Source organism: Homo sapiens, chromosome 4 (genome assembly GCF_000001405.40).
Source record: "Homo sapiens chromosome 4, GRCh38.p14 Primary Assembly".
Lineage (NCBI taxonomy): Eukaryota > Metazoa > Chordata > Mammalia > Primates > Hominidae > Homo > Homo sapiens.
This window is the reverse complement of record NC_000004.12, coordinates 108,131,051-108,146,397: the sequence shown is the minus strand read 5'-3', so window position 1 is coordinate 108,146,397 and position 15,347 is coordinate 108,131,051. Positions and strand designations below refer to the sequence as shown.

At 39.1% G+C, this 15,347-nt stretch overlaps 1 protein-coding gene across 11 annotated transcripts in view, besides 1 other annotated feature; it reads left to right on the top strand.

The window, feature by feature from the left end:
* Positions 1 to 15,347, top strand: part of LEF1 (lymphoid enhancer binding factor 1) — a 121,385-nt gene that overhangs the window by 22,535 nt on the left and 83,503 nt on the right. The window lies entirely within an intron of this gene.
* Positions 10,430 to 10,981: an enhancer, noted in NCBI's record as "OCT4-NANOG-H3K4me1 hESC enhancer chr4:109056573-109057124 (GRCh37/hg19 assembly coordinates)". NCBI's record gives its function as "activates a minimal SCP1, AML or CMV promoter by ChIP-STARR-seq in naive and primed H9 embryonic stem cells {active_cell/tissue: H9 hESC(naive and primed)}" and the evidence as "EXISTENCE:reporter gene assay evidence [ECO:0000049][PMID:30033119]".

Below are 15,347 nucleotides of genomic sequence, written 5' to 3'. Positions count from 1 at the left end.
TATACCAAATCAGATCTGGACATCTAACGTGAATAATTCCACTGGTATATAATGCTTACCATTAAAGGTCTGCCTTTGGAACACCAAGCCATACCTACTTTCTGCTCATCCTCTGCTCACTCTCTCATAGAATCCTGAATTCCTTGACCCCAGTCATCATCCAGATACTCCTTTTCATGAGCAAACATTTAGTGTTTTAAAGTCACAAGGTCGCTACGTGGACAAAGACTAAGCAACACAGTTGTTTTTACTCATGGAGAACATGTCCAGGAGAGCTTTTCCTCTGGCTTTTGTTTAATTGGGATAGGAGGAATTCATTCACTTATTCATTCAGCAAATGTTTTTTCAGTGGTCACTTATTTTTAAAATAGTTTCATTTTTATTGAGATATAATTCACATAGCATACATTTTACCCACTTTGAGTGTACAGTGTAGTGGTTTTTAGTATATTCACATAGTTAGTGCAGCCATCATCACAGTCAGTTTTAGGACATTTTCATCACCTCGGAAAGTAACCCCAGAGCCTTTAGCTATTATCCCCTTATCTCTCATTCCCTCAGTGCTCACCCCAGGCCCAAGCAACTACTAACCTATTTTGTCTCAACATATTTCCCTATTTGAGACATTTCATAAGAATAGAATCATAGGCACATATAGGGTGTAGTCCTTTGTGACTGGCTTCTTTCACTGAGTGTAATGTATTCAGGGTTCATTCATGTCACAGTGAGTATCACAGCTTCATTTCTTTTCCACTCTGGCTTCCATGGCTCCATCTTGCTTCCAGAAGGTTAGATCAGTACAGTGAGGAAAGGAGCTGATTTAATCCATATTGAGAGGAAGAAAAGTGAAATCAATTGATATTTCAGATATCTAAATCCATGGTGAGATTTATTTTACTGCAAGCCCTCATCAATTAAAAATTTTGGCCACTGTATAATTATTTATGAATTATATACCTGAACTATATAATTATCTGATGGCTGTTATTTCAAATAAAATTGATAATTTCTCGTTATTTTGGTCAGCTTCTTGACAAGTCTTGTCCAGTGTCATTACAGATTTTAGCTTTAATGCAAGCTCTTAAAGGGTTGATATTAGAGGTAGAACTGTTGGCTTTGCCATTTTCTTGCTGTTTTTTGTGCTTACATTATTACTGTTATCTTCAGTCCACTTGGCATTCTTGACCGTCTGGCATACAGAGCAAACGGGGGCCCCAGTGGCAATTTGTATGTTAAATATTTCTGGTAAAACTTAAAATTTTTCATATAGAAATATGTATTGACATTGTAGTATTTTCTTCCTGCTGCACCCCAGTGGATAATGCTATGTATTCTTTGTATGATGTGGGATAACCAACTATTCTAGATTGATGGCTGGGGAAAGTAAACGGGAACCCTATTCCTATTTGTTCCGATAAGATACTTCTGAAAGTGTGGCTGTTGAGTGTTTCATATGAAAGTTTTTTATGAAACCTGCAGATTATGCAGTATTCATGAGGATACTCTTCTTTTTTTTTTTTTTTTTTTTTTTTGGCTGGTTGGGTCAATTCTTTGCTGTACAGATTACTTGCAGATTGCTCAGAATCACCTGGGTTTGCTGCACACTGAGCTGTGGGCTGAGGCTGTGTTTCACCCTCGTGTGGCCCAGCTAAATGACATCATTTGAGGTCGTGCTTCATGGTGACCTTGTGGCATCTCCTGTTCACCCCTCCTGTGGCCCTGCCCTCCAGCAGCTGTGTGGGAATTCTGCTCCCTTCCTTCTCTCTAGATTAGATGTCTGCACTAGGGCACTTGCTATTTTAAACCAAAGATGTACTGTGTGTGCAAGTGATGAAACCGCTTGAAAAGAAGGCTCTGTGCTATCTGAGACAGTTCTCAGTCTTTCATGAGCATGTTGAAAATTGGGCACCATCCAATTATTGACATATGATTGTAGATCTTGATGGCAGAACTCTGCCAATTCCCAGGGGGATCTGCTTGATAAGCTGTTCATTTGACTTGGGGAAGACAGGAGAGCAGTTTAAACCCAGCTCCAAATATAAGAACTGTTTCTTTAGCATGTGCCTGGGGCCAGCTTTGTTCTTCACTGAAGGAATAACCAAAGGAAATGGACTTAAATTGTTGAAAGAATTTAGGTTGGGAGAATTACTTCAGAGGGAGAGATTAATAAACATTGGAATGGTTTATCAAAGGAAAGCATGGAATCTGGTTATTTAAAGGTTTTTAAGAGTAAATTTGTATTTGTGTGAAGCGATTGGAATGCCTCATCTAGAGGGGTCCCAGACTTTGGGCAGTACCTATTAACTCCTGCTCCTCAACCGGCTTGCTTCCCCCACTCCTCACCTCTGAGGCAGTTTTCTTTTCTTTTCAGTAAGGAGCATAAGGACCCTCCAGGTTCTTCAAGAGATTATTTTTCCCTTCCTGAAGGGAAAAATAAATAGGCCAGCACATAGATTATGCTATATAACGAGTCTCCTGTGTATCATTACAGTGTTGTCACCTCCATTCTCAATGATGGCAATTTTTGCTGAGGGCAGTCTGAGAAATGTGTGGAGCCCACAGCTCCGGGGGCTACTGAGATTCCATATGCTTTTAGTTTGTCTCTGCTTAGCCACTGGAGTGCCTCTCTCAAGGTTGGTGGCTGAGCAAGTGGTGCTGTGTTCTCTCACATGCTGTTCAGGTGACTAAAATTCTAAGTACAGGTTTCTCTGAGGAGGGCCTTGAAGAAGGCGGGGGCAGGGGATTGAGGGGGCGCCGTATATTGACTTTTTCCTTTGGTTTGAATGGGAAGCCTGGGATGCTTCCAGTGACTGTTTTGCTTGTTACTTTGCAAGAGAAGGCTAATGATAGAATCACAAAAGAAATGTTTTTTTGCCTGATAATCTGAAATTAGAAGGGGGCCTTGGGATATGGAAAATGTGATAAGCTTATTAAGAATGCAACCTACAGAAAAATATTTGATAACACTGGAACTTATTTCCGGCATTTTCCGAAAATGGTAAAATTAAGGAAAGATGGCACTTTTCCAAGAGAAAAATATACAGATTTTGAGATGTTATTATTCAGGTTTTCTTGCTGATTTTGCTTTTGCAATTCTGAATTCATGTAGTTTGTACCCTTTCCTCTAAAGCAAAACAAACCCCAAATGAAACAAACATAAAAACTGTAACCCAGTAAACTGAAGTAGGCAGGTTGTTAAAAGAAAGAGTTTTCCAGTTCTGCACAGTTACAGACAAATTTTCAAAGAAAATTTACAGTTGGGTACCTTACAGCCAGGTCTGTTGATTCAAAATCCTTTCAAACAAAGATGGCTTTTGTTCGCCAATTACTTGGTGTTTCAGAACTAAGAAGTTTTGTGCAGAATGAAAGGAAGCAGTTATTTCATAGTCATTTCTCCTATGTCAATAAGTTTTAGAACTTTGTAGACTTGGAAAAGTTAAAGACTGATGGTTCATTGACTACTATCTACATAAACAATATTAAATCTTTGTGAAAAGGGGACTTTGTTAAACGAGATGCATTTTATTTTATAAATTCTCTTAAGATTCTACTTTCCTGCTCTCTCCATCCATAATCTTGTCATTTCAATGTGAATGTAAATTCAGAGTTTCTCTGTAGAGCTATGTAATATTGATTAGGGCAGACATTTTCAAAGGCAGCAATTAAAAATTAGAATTGGAATAACGGAAGGTTTTCTTACTAGGGAGTGATTACTGGACATATGTAACACTATATGTAGCACCAGAGACATAGTATAGTGATTTATGGTCGCCCTGCTTGCTTTTTATGTTGATTTTAAATGTAATAATGGATGAATTACACAATGTATTTAATCATAAGTCCAAAATGTCTTAATTATTTTTAAAAAATTAGAAATAGCTTTACTTTTAATTTCCATTTTAAGAAATAGGATACTAGTGTTGATGTATTTTGGTTATTATGTTCTTAGGAATTTTTCTGCCTCTTTTGGTGGCATTAGGTTTTGATTCACTTGTCAAGACGTGATCCTGTCATACTGATTTGTGTCTCTGTATCTGGAGCCAGAATTGAAAACCACCTTTGACTTTCCTGTTCTTCCTCTTCTGTTAATGGAATCATGCATTTACAACTTCCCAAATAAACCTGTGATTCTTACAAATGCAAGTATCTGCTCTGCTTAGTTGATTAAAAAGGGCTAAGGAGGAGCAGGTAAGGGCGCGGGACAGGTCTTTAGCAGCTGCACCCGTTCACCTTGCATCAGGTGTCTGCAAAGTCTTCAGACCAAATACATGTTAGAGTCCCTTTCCCAATTGGAATCACTTACCCCATCATTTTTATTTTACCCTTTAGGCTTGAAAAAGTGTGTATTTAGCCATCAGTTCATTTTGTGTGGTCTGAGTTATAAAATGCCCCTGCTGGTTTTTCCATATGAAAAACATGGTTTTCATTTGTGGAAACTTACATAATTTTTTTTCTGGGCCTTTTGTGCTGCTTTAAATTAAAAGCAAATGTATTTCCCTCCCCTTCATTCTTGCTTCCCCACCCCCATCTTTGCATGTTCCAATTACAGAGTTGTGAAAATAAGTCATCCTTCGGCTTTTGTTACTTTAAAACAGCTATCGGTGATGTCAGAGTCAATACTAAAAGCATTAAGAATGCTGGCAGAATGTAATGCAGCTGCAATCCAACATGATGCTGGAAATGGGGTTGAGAGCATAAAGGCTTTCCATATTCCCAGGGCGCACAACTGCTTGCGGCCTTGGCTTTGATCTCTTCAAAGGCTGCTGCCTCCTCCTAGATGGAGAGACTTGGCTGCCACTCGCTTGCATTGAAAAAAGGCAGAGGTCTCTATTCAGGCAGAAATCAATCACTGTGCAGAAACAATTATGTGTAATTCAACCATCATGAAAACAGGACGAGATTACGGGTTTGTTACCTGAGTGACTGTGTGAAGACGGGGAGCAGAGAACACTGGAGTCCCGCTGACATGCCACATCTCGATGACAATTATAGACATATGAATGATGTGGCGGGGGGGGAGGCACAATGACAAATACTGGTCACGCTGTCCAGCAGAGCAGAAAATGAGGTTACAATTGGGAGATAATGTTTGCATATGTAACCATATTTCAGCAAGCTGAACAACTTCAGGGAACAGACCCTCAAAACTCTTGTGAATATTTGTATGTACAGAGACTAACATATGAATTTGATATTGGCTGAATTAGGACAAAAATAATCCTAATAATTTGAGGATTATACTGAAAGAGAGAAGGAAAGTGAATTTAACTTTGGTTTATTACACTTGCTGATTTGGAGTACATACTACTGCTAACACCAAACTCTGAAAACACAACTAACTTTCTAACCTAATATATATGGATCTCTCTTTAAACATCTTCTGGTTCAAGAATAACATTTTTATTTTGAGTCTGTAAACTTGTCTCAAAAAAGCATTATGTTTTTTCACCTTGATTGAGGCTTTTTGGGGAAATGATTTTTGTCAGTTGTACCATCTTCCCTTGTTTTCAGATTTAATTTTTGAAAAGCAACTTTCTCAAATGTGTTGAAGTTTCCTTTCACTGAGAAGAAAAGCAAGGCATTTTTCTAGGTAGGAAATAACTTTTTGCTTTAAGTACAAGTATGCTTAATCTTGAAGCCCTGGCATGCAAAGCTATCGAGGTATTTATTTTTATTTTAACTTGCTTCTTGTCACCTAACAAAGGCGTAGGAGTAACCTCGCACTTTGCTAGCTAACCTGACTCCGGGTGAGGGGAAAGTCAAAATAAGATGAAAACCTAGATGGCTGATTATAAAATGGTATTGCTTCTGCTCAGTTTGATACCCAGGCCTGGGTTTACCTTTTATGCTGCTCCAGCTTAGACATCAGAGGCGTGAGAGCTGCTTTGAGTTACAGATCTTCAAACAATAAGTCAAAACAAAAAATCAATCCCCTCCGGTCCCTGGGTGCAGTTATCGAAAGATAAAAGAGAAAAATAAAGTTATGCTAAAGTAGATAGAGGAAAGGAGCAGATATGCCAAGGAAACACGGAGGACAAGTGCAGAGTTGAAGTGGGCCTCATATGAGCCAACATCAATGAATTTTTATCTTATCAAAAAGTTTTAGGGTTGCCAGTTCTTTTCAAACTGGATCCAGTCTGCTCCAGGGCTGCCTGGAGCGTTGGCTTCAATGAAGTTGCTTTTCCCCCCTCCCTCTAAAATATAACCACATAGGAATTAGACTGCATTTCACTCAAGGTATAAAACTTGCCACAGACTTCGACGGCAAATTAGGGGTTTTGATAATCCCTTGATATTTTGAATATAAATTGAGGGGAGTGTGTGTGTGTGTATTTTTATGTTTATTGAAAGCTGAGATTTACATGAAAAGTAAGGCAAATCTCTATAGTGTGTTTTTGCTTCAAGCCAAATTTCTAAGGAGAGCTAGAAAGTCCCCATGAATTCTTTTTGAGGTAAGAAATCTGTGTTTTTCCTCTGTTTCTTGTGGGTAATGTCAGATATTTTTGGATATTAATTATAACTATCTGAACCATTTTAGATGGTATTTTAACATATGAGCCAGTATATATTTTTATGAATCCAAGTTATAGTTTGAAAAAAAAGCCTTACATTTTTACATATTTTTAGAAAACAATAAACTAGTTTACTCAATTGTTTTACAGCTGTAAATGTTTGTGAGATGATCCTAGTTCCTCTATTAACGTCCCTAAAGGTCTCTCACAAAATGGCAGCACATATTTCATTCTTGTCCTTCCCTTTGCTTCCTCTTTGTTTTCCTTACCGAGAGAGTCATGTTCCTGAGCTAATGCCAGCAGGGCCAGCAGGGCCAGGGTGGAGGTCCAGGCTCTGCATCCACCTCCCTAACCACTGTGGAGCCCGGCCTGCACCTTGCCCTGTGATCTGTGCTGGACATAGTCACATTTAACAGCCCTTCAAGTTTCCAGGTTTTAAGGGAGAAAAGGATAGTTAGCTTGGCATTGTAGATGTAGATGCCATGCTATTTAAAGATGCATGTTCTATATATAAACTCTAGTTAATCATTTGACTAAAACCATCATAACTTTCCTTTGCATAGTTCAGATGATTCATTGTTTTGAAAACTATGTAAACTCAAATGGAAAACAACCACGCACTGATGGTTGCAACTTATATTTCCCAGTATAGAGTTAATGAGCAGAAAAATGGCAGAGCCGCTTCCACACATCTAAGGCTGAACATTTCTTGGAACTATTAATGAATGTACTTTACTGTAAACATTGAAGCTTAGCAGTATGTTCTATAGGCCCTGAGAAGAGGGGAATGAAGATTCTTTCTAGTTTCTTACAATTATACCATGGCAGGGAATCTCAGTCTGTATTTTTAGGTATTTGTCCTCCAACTCTCCTTCAGGCCTGGTTCAGCTAGCATTTCCAGTCCAGTCTCTACCATTTCCTATCCGTAATCCATCCTTGTTATCCTTCCAGGCTACTTAGAGGATGTTGCTACGAGTGGCTTCATGTTTACATGCAAGGAAGGGAAGGCAGAGGAGGAAAATGGGGCATGGTGGCACATGTAGGTCACATAGGCATCATGCGTCAGCAAGCTCCGTTCTGTCCCCCATGGAAGCATCTTTGAATTCCTGATGTTCTCAGCCCTAAATTCTCAGCTCTTCTATTCTCATATAGGCAGTGGCAACTTCAAGGCGTTTGGAGGAGTTGGGGCTAGCCCCCATAATCTCCAGCAATACCCTTCACCACCCCAAATAAACACCTTTGCTAAGTAAAAATATTCTTCAGATACAGCATTTACTTCAATCTTGCAACCAGATTGCTGTTCCTAAGCCCCCTTTGTGTAGAAATGTATATGCTAGGTAAGCTGTCAGGCATACTCGTGTGTGTGTGTGTGTGTGTGTATACACACACATACACACCTGTACATATAATGCAGTGTTTAAAGCTCATGAGTCAGATTGCCTGTGCTTGAATTTCACTGCCATGCAAGTTCCTAAAGCATTATAATGCTCACTTTCCTTATCTGTATAATGGGAGTAATCATAGTAGCGACCCATAGGCTTGTGTAAAGGCAATGCAAATACAGAGCATACTTGATACCTCTTTTTGTTGTTGGAAAATAACAATTCCATTCCATACATCATGAAAACATTATTTGCATTTCATTACTGACCTTTTGAGATGTACTCTTTCATCTATTTATTTTATACATATTTGATATTCGAAATTCCACATTTGACCAGCTCCCCGAGTAGAGGCCATGGGTGGAGGAAAGAACTGAGTCCAACAAGTCTCATCTAAACCTGTATTTCTGTTGAAGAAGCAAAAATAGGAGATTTTGTTGGGGTCATCCTAAAGGCTGCATAATCATGAGAGAAAATTATGTGGTTAATAATTTGTTAACCTCTTAGGTTTCAGTAATTTGGAATTTAGGAAAGCAAAATCATAGTTCACATTTTTCCCTAGTCTTTTTAATGTTAATATACTAAAGGAAATTATATATCTCTTTCAAAGGAAAAATGTTTTAAAATTAGGTGAATGTTATATTTTGGCATGTTATATTGGGTTGATATATTCTATAGGACAATATTAAGTTTTTATTACAGAGTCTATGAGTGTGCAATTCATTAGCATTTGGAATGGTAACAGGAAAACCATATTCAAATATTTTGAATCACAAAATATAAATTAGGATCTAAAATTTATAATATTCAGGGATATGATGGGTGAGATGAGCAAGATTCAAGTTAATAGATTATTATAGTCTTCTGAATAGTACCAGACTCTGGACAGCAAAGTAACCAATACCGTTCCTTCCTACATTCAGACTTTGCTCTTCTTCCCCCCAGCACACACAGCCTCTAATCCTCATGCCAACAAATCAGTGCCACTTTCCTCTTTTCCTATCTTTGAGGGCATTTTTATCACATAAAAACTCCACATTGAAAAATCTAAGTTGTAGTATGAAGATAGCTTTATGATGTTTAAAATATTACTTGGACTTTCTGTTTTAATTGCTTTTTTGATTGCATGAATCAGTTTTTTTAGTGGTGATTTCTGAGATTTTGTTGTATCCATCACCAGAGCAGTGTACACTGCACCCAGTGTGGAGTCTTTTATCCCTCACCCCACTCCCACCCTTTCCCCTGAGTCCCCAAAGTCCATTGTATTATTCTTACGCCTTTGCAATAGACTTTCTGTTTTAATAGGAAATTGCTAGCTTTGATGATTTGTGATGTTTTGTAAAAAATGTTGAAAATAACTATTTAAAAAACTATTCTTCGTAGCTTCAAAATTCTGTACTGTTTGAAGAATAATTACAATACTTATTTAGGGAGAGGCACCAAATACATATTTTAACTAACATTAAAGTCAATTTTAAAGTACTTACAATAAAGAAAAAGTTGACTTTTTAATAAGCCAGAAGAAACTTAGTCTGGGTTAAATAGCTTTATCCTTAGCAAAAATGACCAGACAACCTCTCAGAATTTTAAAGGAAGACTTAGAGCCCTTATTGGTAGCTATTTAGTTTTCAATGACTACATACTTATATAATTTCATAAAAATTATTGGAAGTTATTTCCCTTTTTACCCTTGGATATTTTGAGTTAGAACATTATTTTTAAAATCTTATAAGCACAGTAGGGTAAATAATCACAAACATTTATGTTTTTTAAAGAAAAAGACACCTTACTGAAGGGCAAATGACCCTATATTATTAGATTTAACTATTCAGTCACCGTAAGAATTACAATAGCATGTTTTATACAATGTGTGAATCGTAACTCTAGGTCTGCAGTTATAAGACCCCTGAAAGGCAAACTTCTGGCATTTGATCATATGTATTGCTGAACTTTCCAGATCTGGGTGGGGTATCCAAACCTGGAATTGTTATAATACTATGCAGCATAAGCATCTAAAGTTTAAAAAAAAAAAAAAAAAGGAAATTTAAGGAGATGAGAAGTATTTGAACTGGCAATATGCTATATAACTGTACATGTTTTTATAAAGATTAATCCTTTGATTTTAGAATACTTGGTCAAATAGCCAGTAGAATTTAAGTTTTGAAGGTTTTGGGGGGAATACGCATATAGTAGAAGGACAAAGCAGAAATGGTTAAGAAAGATACGAATTTTATAGCATGCTAAACCAACACCACGTGAAATTTTATAGGTGCAGGTTCTTTATGGAACTTCTAATGTTTGCACATTTATTTTAGAAAAAATGAACTATGCTTCTGAAAGTTATTTTACATTTAAGTTCAGAGTTATTTCCTGTTTTCTTCTCTTGTCTACCATAACTTGTTTTGTTTTTTTCTACCTGAATTTTAACCCTTGAAAGATTTCATTATTTTCACATCACATCATCACCTTCCCCTGAGCAGCTGAGACCAGTTTTTGCTCATTCAACCTGTTTGTGTAGTAATTTTGTGACTGATTTTCTTCATGTATGGGCAAGGAAGAAGTCATACTGTTTGTACAGTTCACATTTGGGCAGGATTGGGGGAAAGGGGGATGAAGCCAAAAAGAAAAAGTTCTTGGAGCCAGCCCATGGGGTGCGTGGGAGGAGAGCAGAAGGAATTGCAGGCTCCAAGCAGGTTAGCTTGAAGGACTCACAGTGGATAATTACCTACACTATATGGCTGGAGGAGGGCTACAAGTCTCCACTTGCCTAAAAACAACTCCCCCGCTGGCAGGCCATTGAAGTGTCACTCAGCCAGCTTCCTTACCCCCAGTTCCCACTGCTAGAGGCTCTCCATAGACAAAGCAGGGCGTTGTTGCCTAGAGGCCCCTGTTCTTGCCGGCTAGCAGACACAGCACTGTACCTCTCCTGGGGCATGCCAGTCCCCCAGTGGGAATAACTCCCTCCACCTTCACTCTCGCCATCCTGAGCCTCCACTGGAAGGGATGCTTGCATTTCAGGGCCATCACCAGAAATAGATGGAAGCACATCTCCATCTGTATTTGAGCCTGCTGTCATTTGCCTCCTCCTACCCTTTATCACTCTTCCAGGCTAAACAGTCTTAATTCTCCGTGCCTGCTGGTTTCAGAACGTTTGCTGTTGTGGCCCCACTCCTAGTTACATTCTTTGTTTTGGCCCAATAAAAGTTTGGGTTTTGAAGTACACTCAGTGCTTCAGATTGAGCTGGCCCCCCACAGGATAGGAGTGGTCTGTAGCTTCCCTCATTCTGGATGTTTGAGTTCCATTAATGCGCTGCAGGTTTTAGAGTCTTAATAGCGTCTTGACACCTGGGCTCAAAGTAGATTTTAGGCAGCTAAAACTCCTGTCTTCCTCTAACAAGTTTGGTTTATGGACCCATCAACTTGCAATGTTTTATTGTAATCTATATTAGCACCCCCCTTCTCAATTCACTTGGTCACTTTAGTCATTTGGGGTCTTTTTGGACCTAGTGATGTAGTGTTTTTTATTCCTTCCATTTTCTTGTCATATGGGAATTTGAAAGGCAGGCATCTGTATCCCTTTTAAAGTCATTGATTAAAATGTATGAAGAAGCAGGGATGCTGGGTGGGTTATCATTACCCTTTGAGTATATGAAAGGGTTCTGCTTCAACTTGGGAATCAGATAAGAATCCTGGATCTCCCTTTGGCTTGCTATGTGACCTTGAGCCATTTACTTTAACTTCTCAGGGTTTTAATTTCCTCATGTATAAAACGATGTTACCTCCTACTTCATAGAGCAGAGTGAGGAATGGAGAGTATGCATGCAAACCATCAGATGTGCCTAGCACATTGTAATGGGCAATACGTGCTCTTTTTTATCCTGTTTTGGAATCACATTGATAAGAGTTTAATCCTTCATCTGTATGTCTTGATGTATTTGGAATAACTCTGTGTGGCCCATCAGCTTCTCCAGTCTCCTCTTTTCTAGGATGGAGTGCCAGTGCTGTAGCCTGCTCCTCCAGTGCCCTGTATTATTCTACATTTGAACTTTAAATAAAGAAAGAAAGCTGCTCTGGATGAGCAGTAGAGCCCTATTCTAGCCCTCTTTGATTACACTAGGTTAATTTGTCAGTTGATAATTTAGAAGTATGACGTGTGGAGGCACAGTGGATAAGGGAGAAGTGTAAGAGCTGTCTTCCAATAGTGGAAGGACTGCTAGCATGGAAGAGGAAGTGGACTTACTTGTGTATTCACTGAGGACAAAATAATATATGTCCACAGTTCTTTATTTGTAAATTTGGAATTGAAAGATATGTGAAAGTTGATTTTTTTTTTTTTTGGTAAATTTGGTGGCAAAATCCAACTTTAATTAATGTGAAGTTATTTATATATACTCGTTAGCCCACTAATTGTGAATATTTATATGCTTCACTGCGAAAATACAAATGTGTTTGATGATGGAGTGCTTCCCTGGACCCCACTGGGGAGAGTATAAAACACACAGTATGTGTGCCCTATCTAAAACCTGAAAAATTAAGTTGTAAGACGTGCAGCCCCAAGGATTTCAGATAAGAGATTAGGGGCCTGTACCAATGAGTAGATAGAAGTCTTGGCAAATAGAACCAAGTTTAAGGAAGACATCCTCACATATATGACAATAAAATGAGATTATTTTCTGATGTAATGAATCTCAGACACAGATCATTCATGGTGGAGGTGAGGGTTGCCATGAAACCATCTATTAAGGATGTTATCAAAGGAGTTTATTGAGTAGGAAACTGGACCTCTAAAGTCCGTCCCAACCCCGCATTTATTGATTTAAAAGACACAGTTTTGCCAGTGCAGTGGGCACATGCCTGTAGTCTCAGAGGCAGGAGAATCACTTGAGCCCAGGAGTTCGAGTCCAGTTTGGACAACACAGCAAGACCCCATTTCCTTAAAGAAATTTTTTTTTAAAGGACATAGTTTTAGTCCTAGGTGGATGAGCTCCAACAGAGGTTTCTCTGATAGACTGAGCTTACAGCCCTGGCCCATTCTGAGAATTAGGCCATAAACTGAACATGGGACACTATGCTGGAGAGTACAGGCACCTAATGAAGGACGAGTCTGTAATTGCTTAACATGTATTACTTGTATTCCATGATTACATAGTCACTGTCACATTTAAATAAAAGTTACATGATAAACTCTCATTTAATAAGGTTGATCTAACCCAGTGGTTTTCAAAGTGTGGTCTCCAGATCAGCCACATCGGCATCACCTGGGAACTTGTTGCAGATGCTGGGGCGGGCGGATCACGAGGTCATGAGTTTGAGACCAGCCTGACCAACATGGTGAAACCCTGTCTCCACTAAAAATCCAAAAATTAGCCAGGCATGGTGGTGTGTGGCTGTAATCCCAGCTACTCGGGAGGCTGAGGCAGGAGAAGCGCTTGAACCTGGGAGGTGGAGGTTGCAGTGAGCCGAGACTGCACCACTGCACTCCAGCCTGGGCGACAGAGCGAGACTCCATTTCAAAAAAAGAAAAAAAAGAAATGCAGATTTCAGGCTGGATGCATCTGTAATCCCAACACTTTGGGAGGTAGGGGCAGGCAGATTGCTTGAACCCAGGGGTTGGAGACAAGCCTGGGCAACATGGGGAAACCCCATCTCTATTAAAAAATACAAAAAATTAGGTGGGTGTTGTGGTACATGCCTATAGTTCTAGCTACTCAGGAGGCTGAGCGGGGAGGATGGTTGGAGCCTGGGGAAGTGGAGGTTGCAGTGAGCTGAGATTGTGCCATTGCACTCTAGCCTGGGTGACAGAGCAAGACCCTGCCTCAAAAAAAAAAAAAAAAAAAAAAAAAAGGCAGATTTTCGCTCTCATCCCATATCTATTGAGAATGCTGTAGTTGAGGGTTGTTAGAAAACTGCATTTTATTAAAATCCCTCCAGGTGATTCTGATGCAGGCTAGTTCAGTAAACAATATCAACTAGTTTTCATAAAGAAAACCTCTGGAGGGCCCATAGTGCCTGCACTCCAGGTCTCAAAGTATACTTTGAGATCTAGGTTATCTGCCAAGGTGCTATCCTGAAAGGACTCTAAATGAGACTCGAGTTGCAAAAACAGAATAGAAGAGGAAAAAGGGATTCTAATTGGGATGCCAAGACAAAGCTTTCTGGGAAGTATGTGCTTTAAGACATGGGTAAGATTTTGAGGGGGTACAGAATGGGATAGTATTCCTTGCTGAAGGAAGAGAACAGTAAAACCTCTTCATTGGCTGGGGAACAGAATCGTCTCCAGAATGTCAGTGGGAATACAATACTAACAAGGGAGAGCTCCTATCAGCCGGACTAGTTAATTATGTTTTTTACATAATGTGAATATGAAATAAATTCTTTTTGGACCCAAATACCTGCCTTTATCCTTATTAAGGGTAGGCACATCAGTCTAGTCCTGTGATACATTTTGGATTCCTGAAGCTGTAGCCCCATTGCCTAATTAGATCCTCATCCAAATTGTCAATAAAAACGTTTACCTTGAATTTGAAATTTCCTTCCAGGTTGACCTAAATCCTAATACTGCTTCAGTGCATTTTGTTGCACTAGAAAGAAATAACCCTGATTTCATATGTGGTTTTATACAACCAGTATTTCATTGAACTCACTGTTATATCATCATACCCTATACAACGCACCTTAGTTTTTTTTACTGGGAGTTTTTACATTTTAAGCTTTTTATGAGATATGTTTGATACAATAAGCTGCATAAAGGCAGGGTTTTATCTAGGACTCTTAGCATGTCAGAAACTAAAAAAAAGTTATGTTTCCAAAGAGCCCATGTCTCATAGAAGCCATAATTGTGCCTAGTAGCTTATATCAGCTTGTGTACTACTCAAAAACACAGGCATTTGGTGGGTATTCAGCAACCTTGTTTTTCAGACTATGTAGGCAATTTGTGGAGATTGGCTTTGATGCTGTTGCTTGAGTTTAGAGTGTTTCCAAATGTCTTTCAGCCAAAATTATGTCCAGTGATATATGGAAGTGTGTTTTTGTGGTGGTCTTTTGCATAGCTGTGTAGGCATTGTGTAGATACTCTTGAGTAGATTTTTATTTAAAACATTTTTTTTTTTTTTTTTAGAGATAGGGTCTTGCTCTGTCACCTCACCCAGGCTGGAGTGCAGTGCCACCATGATAGCTCACTGCAGCTTGGACCTCCAAGTTAAATGCCTAGCTAATTTTTAAAACATTTTTAAATAGAAACGGGTCCTTGCTATGTTGCTCAGGCTGGTCTCAAACTCCTGGCCTGAAGTGATCCTCCTACCTTGGCCTTCCAGAGCACTGGGATTACAGGCATGAGCCACTGCTTGAGTAGTTTAAATTAAAATAAGCTGGATGTAGTGGCGCCACCTGTAGTCCCAGCTGCTCTGGCGGCTGAGGCGGAGGATCACTTGAGTCCAGGAGTTTGAATTCAGCC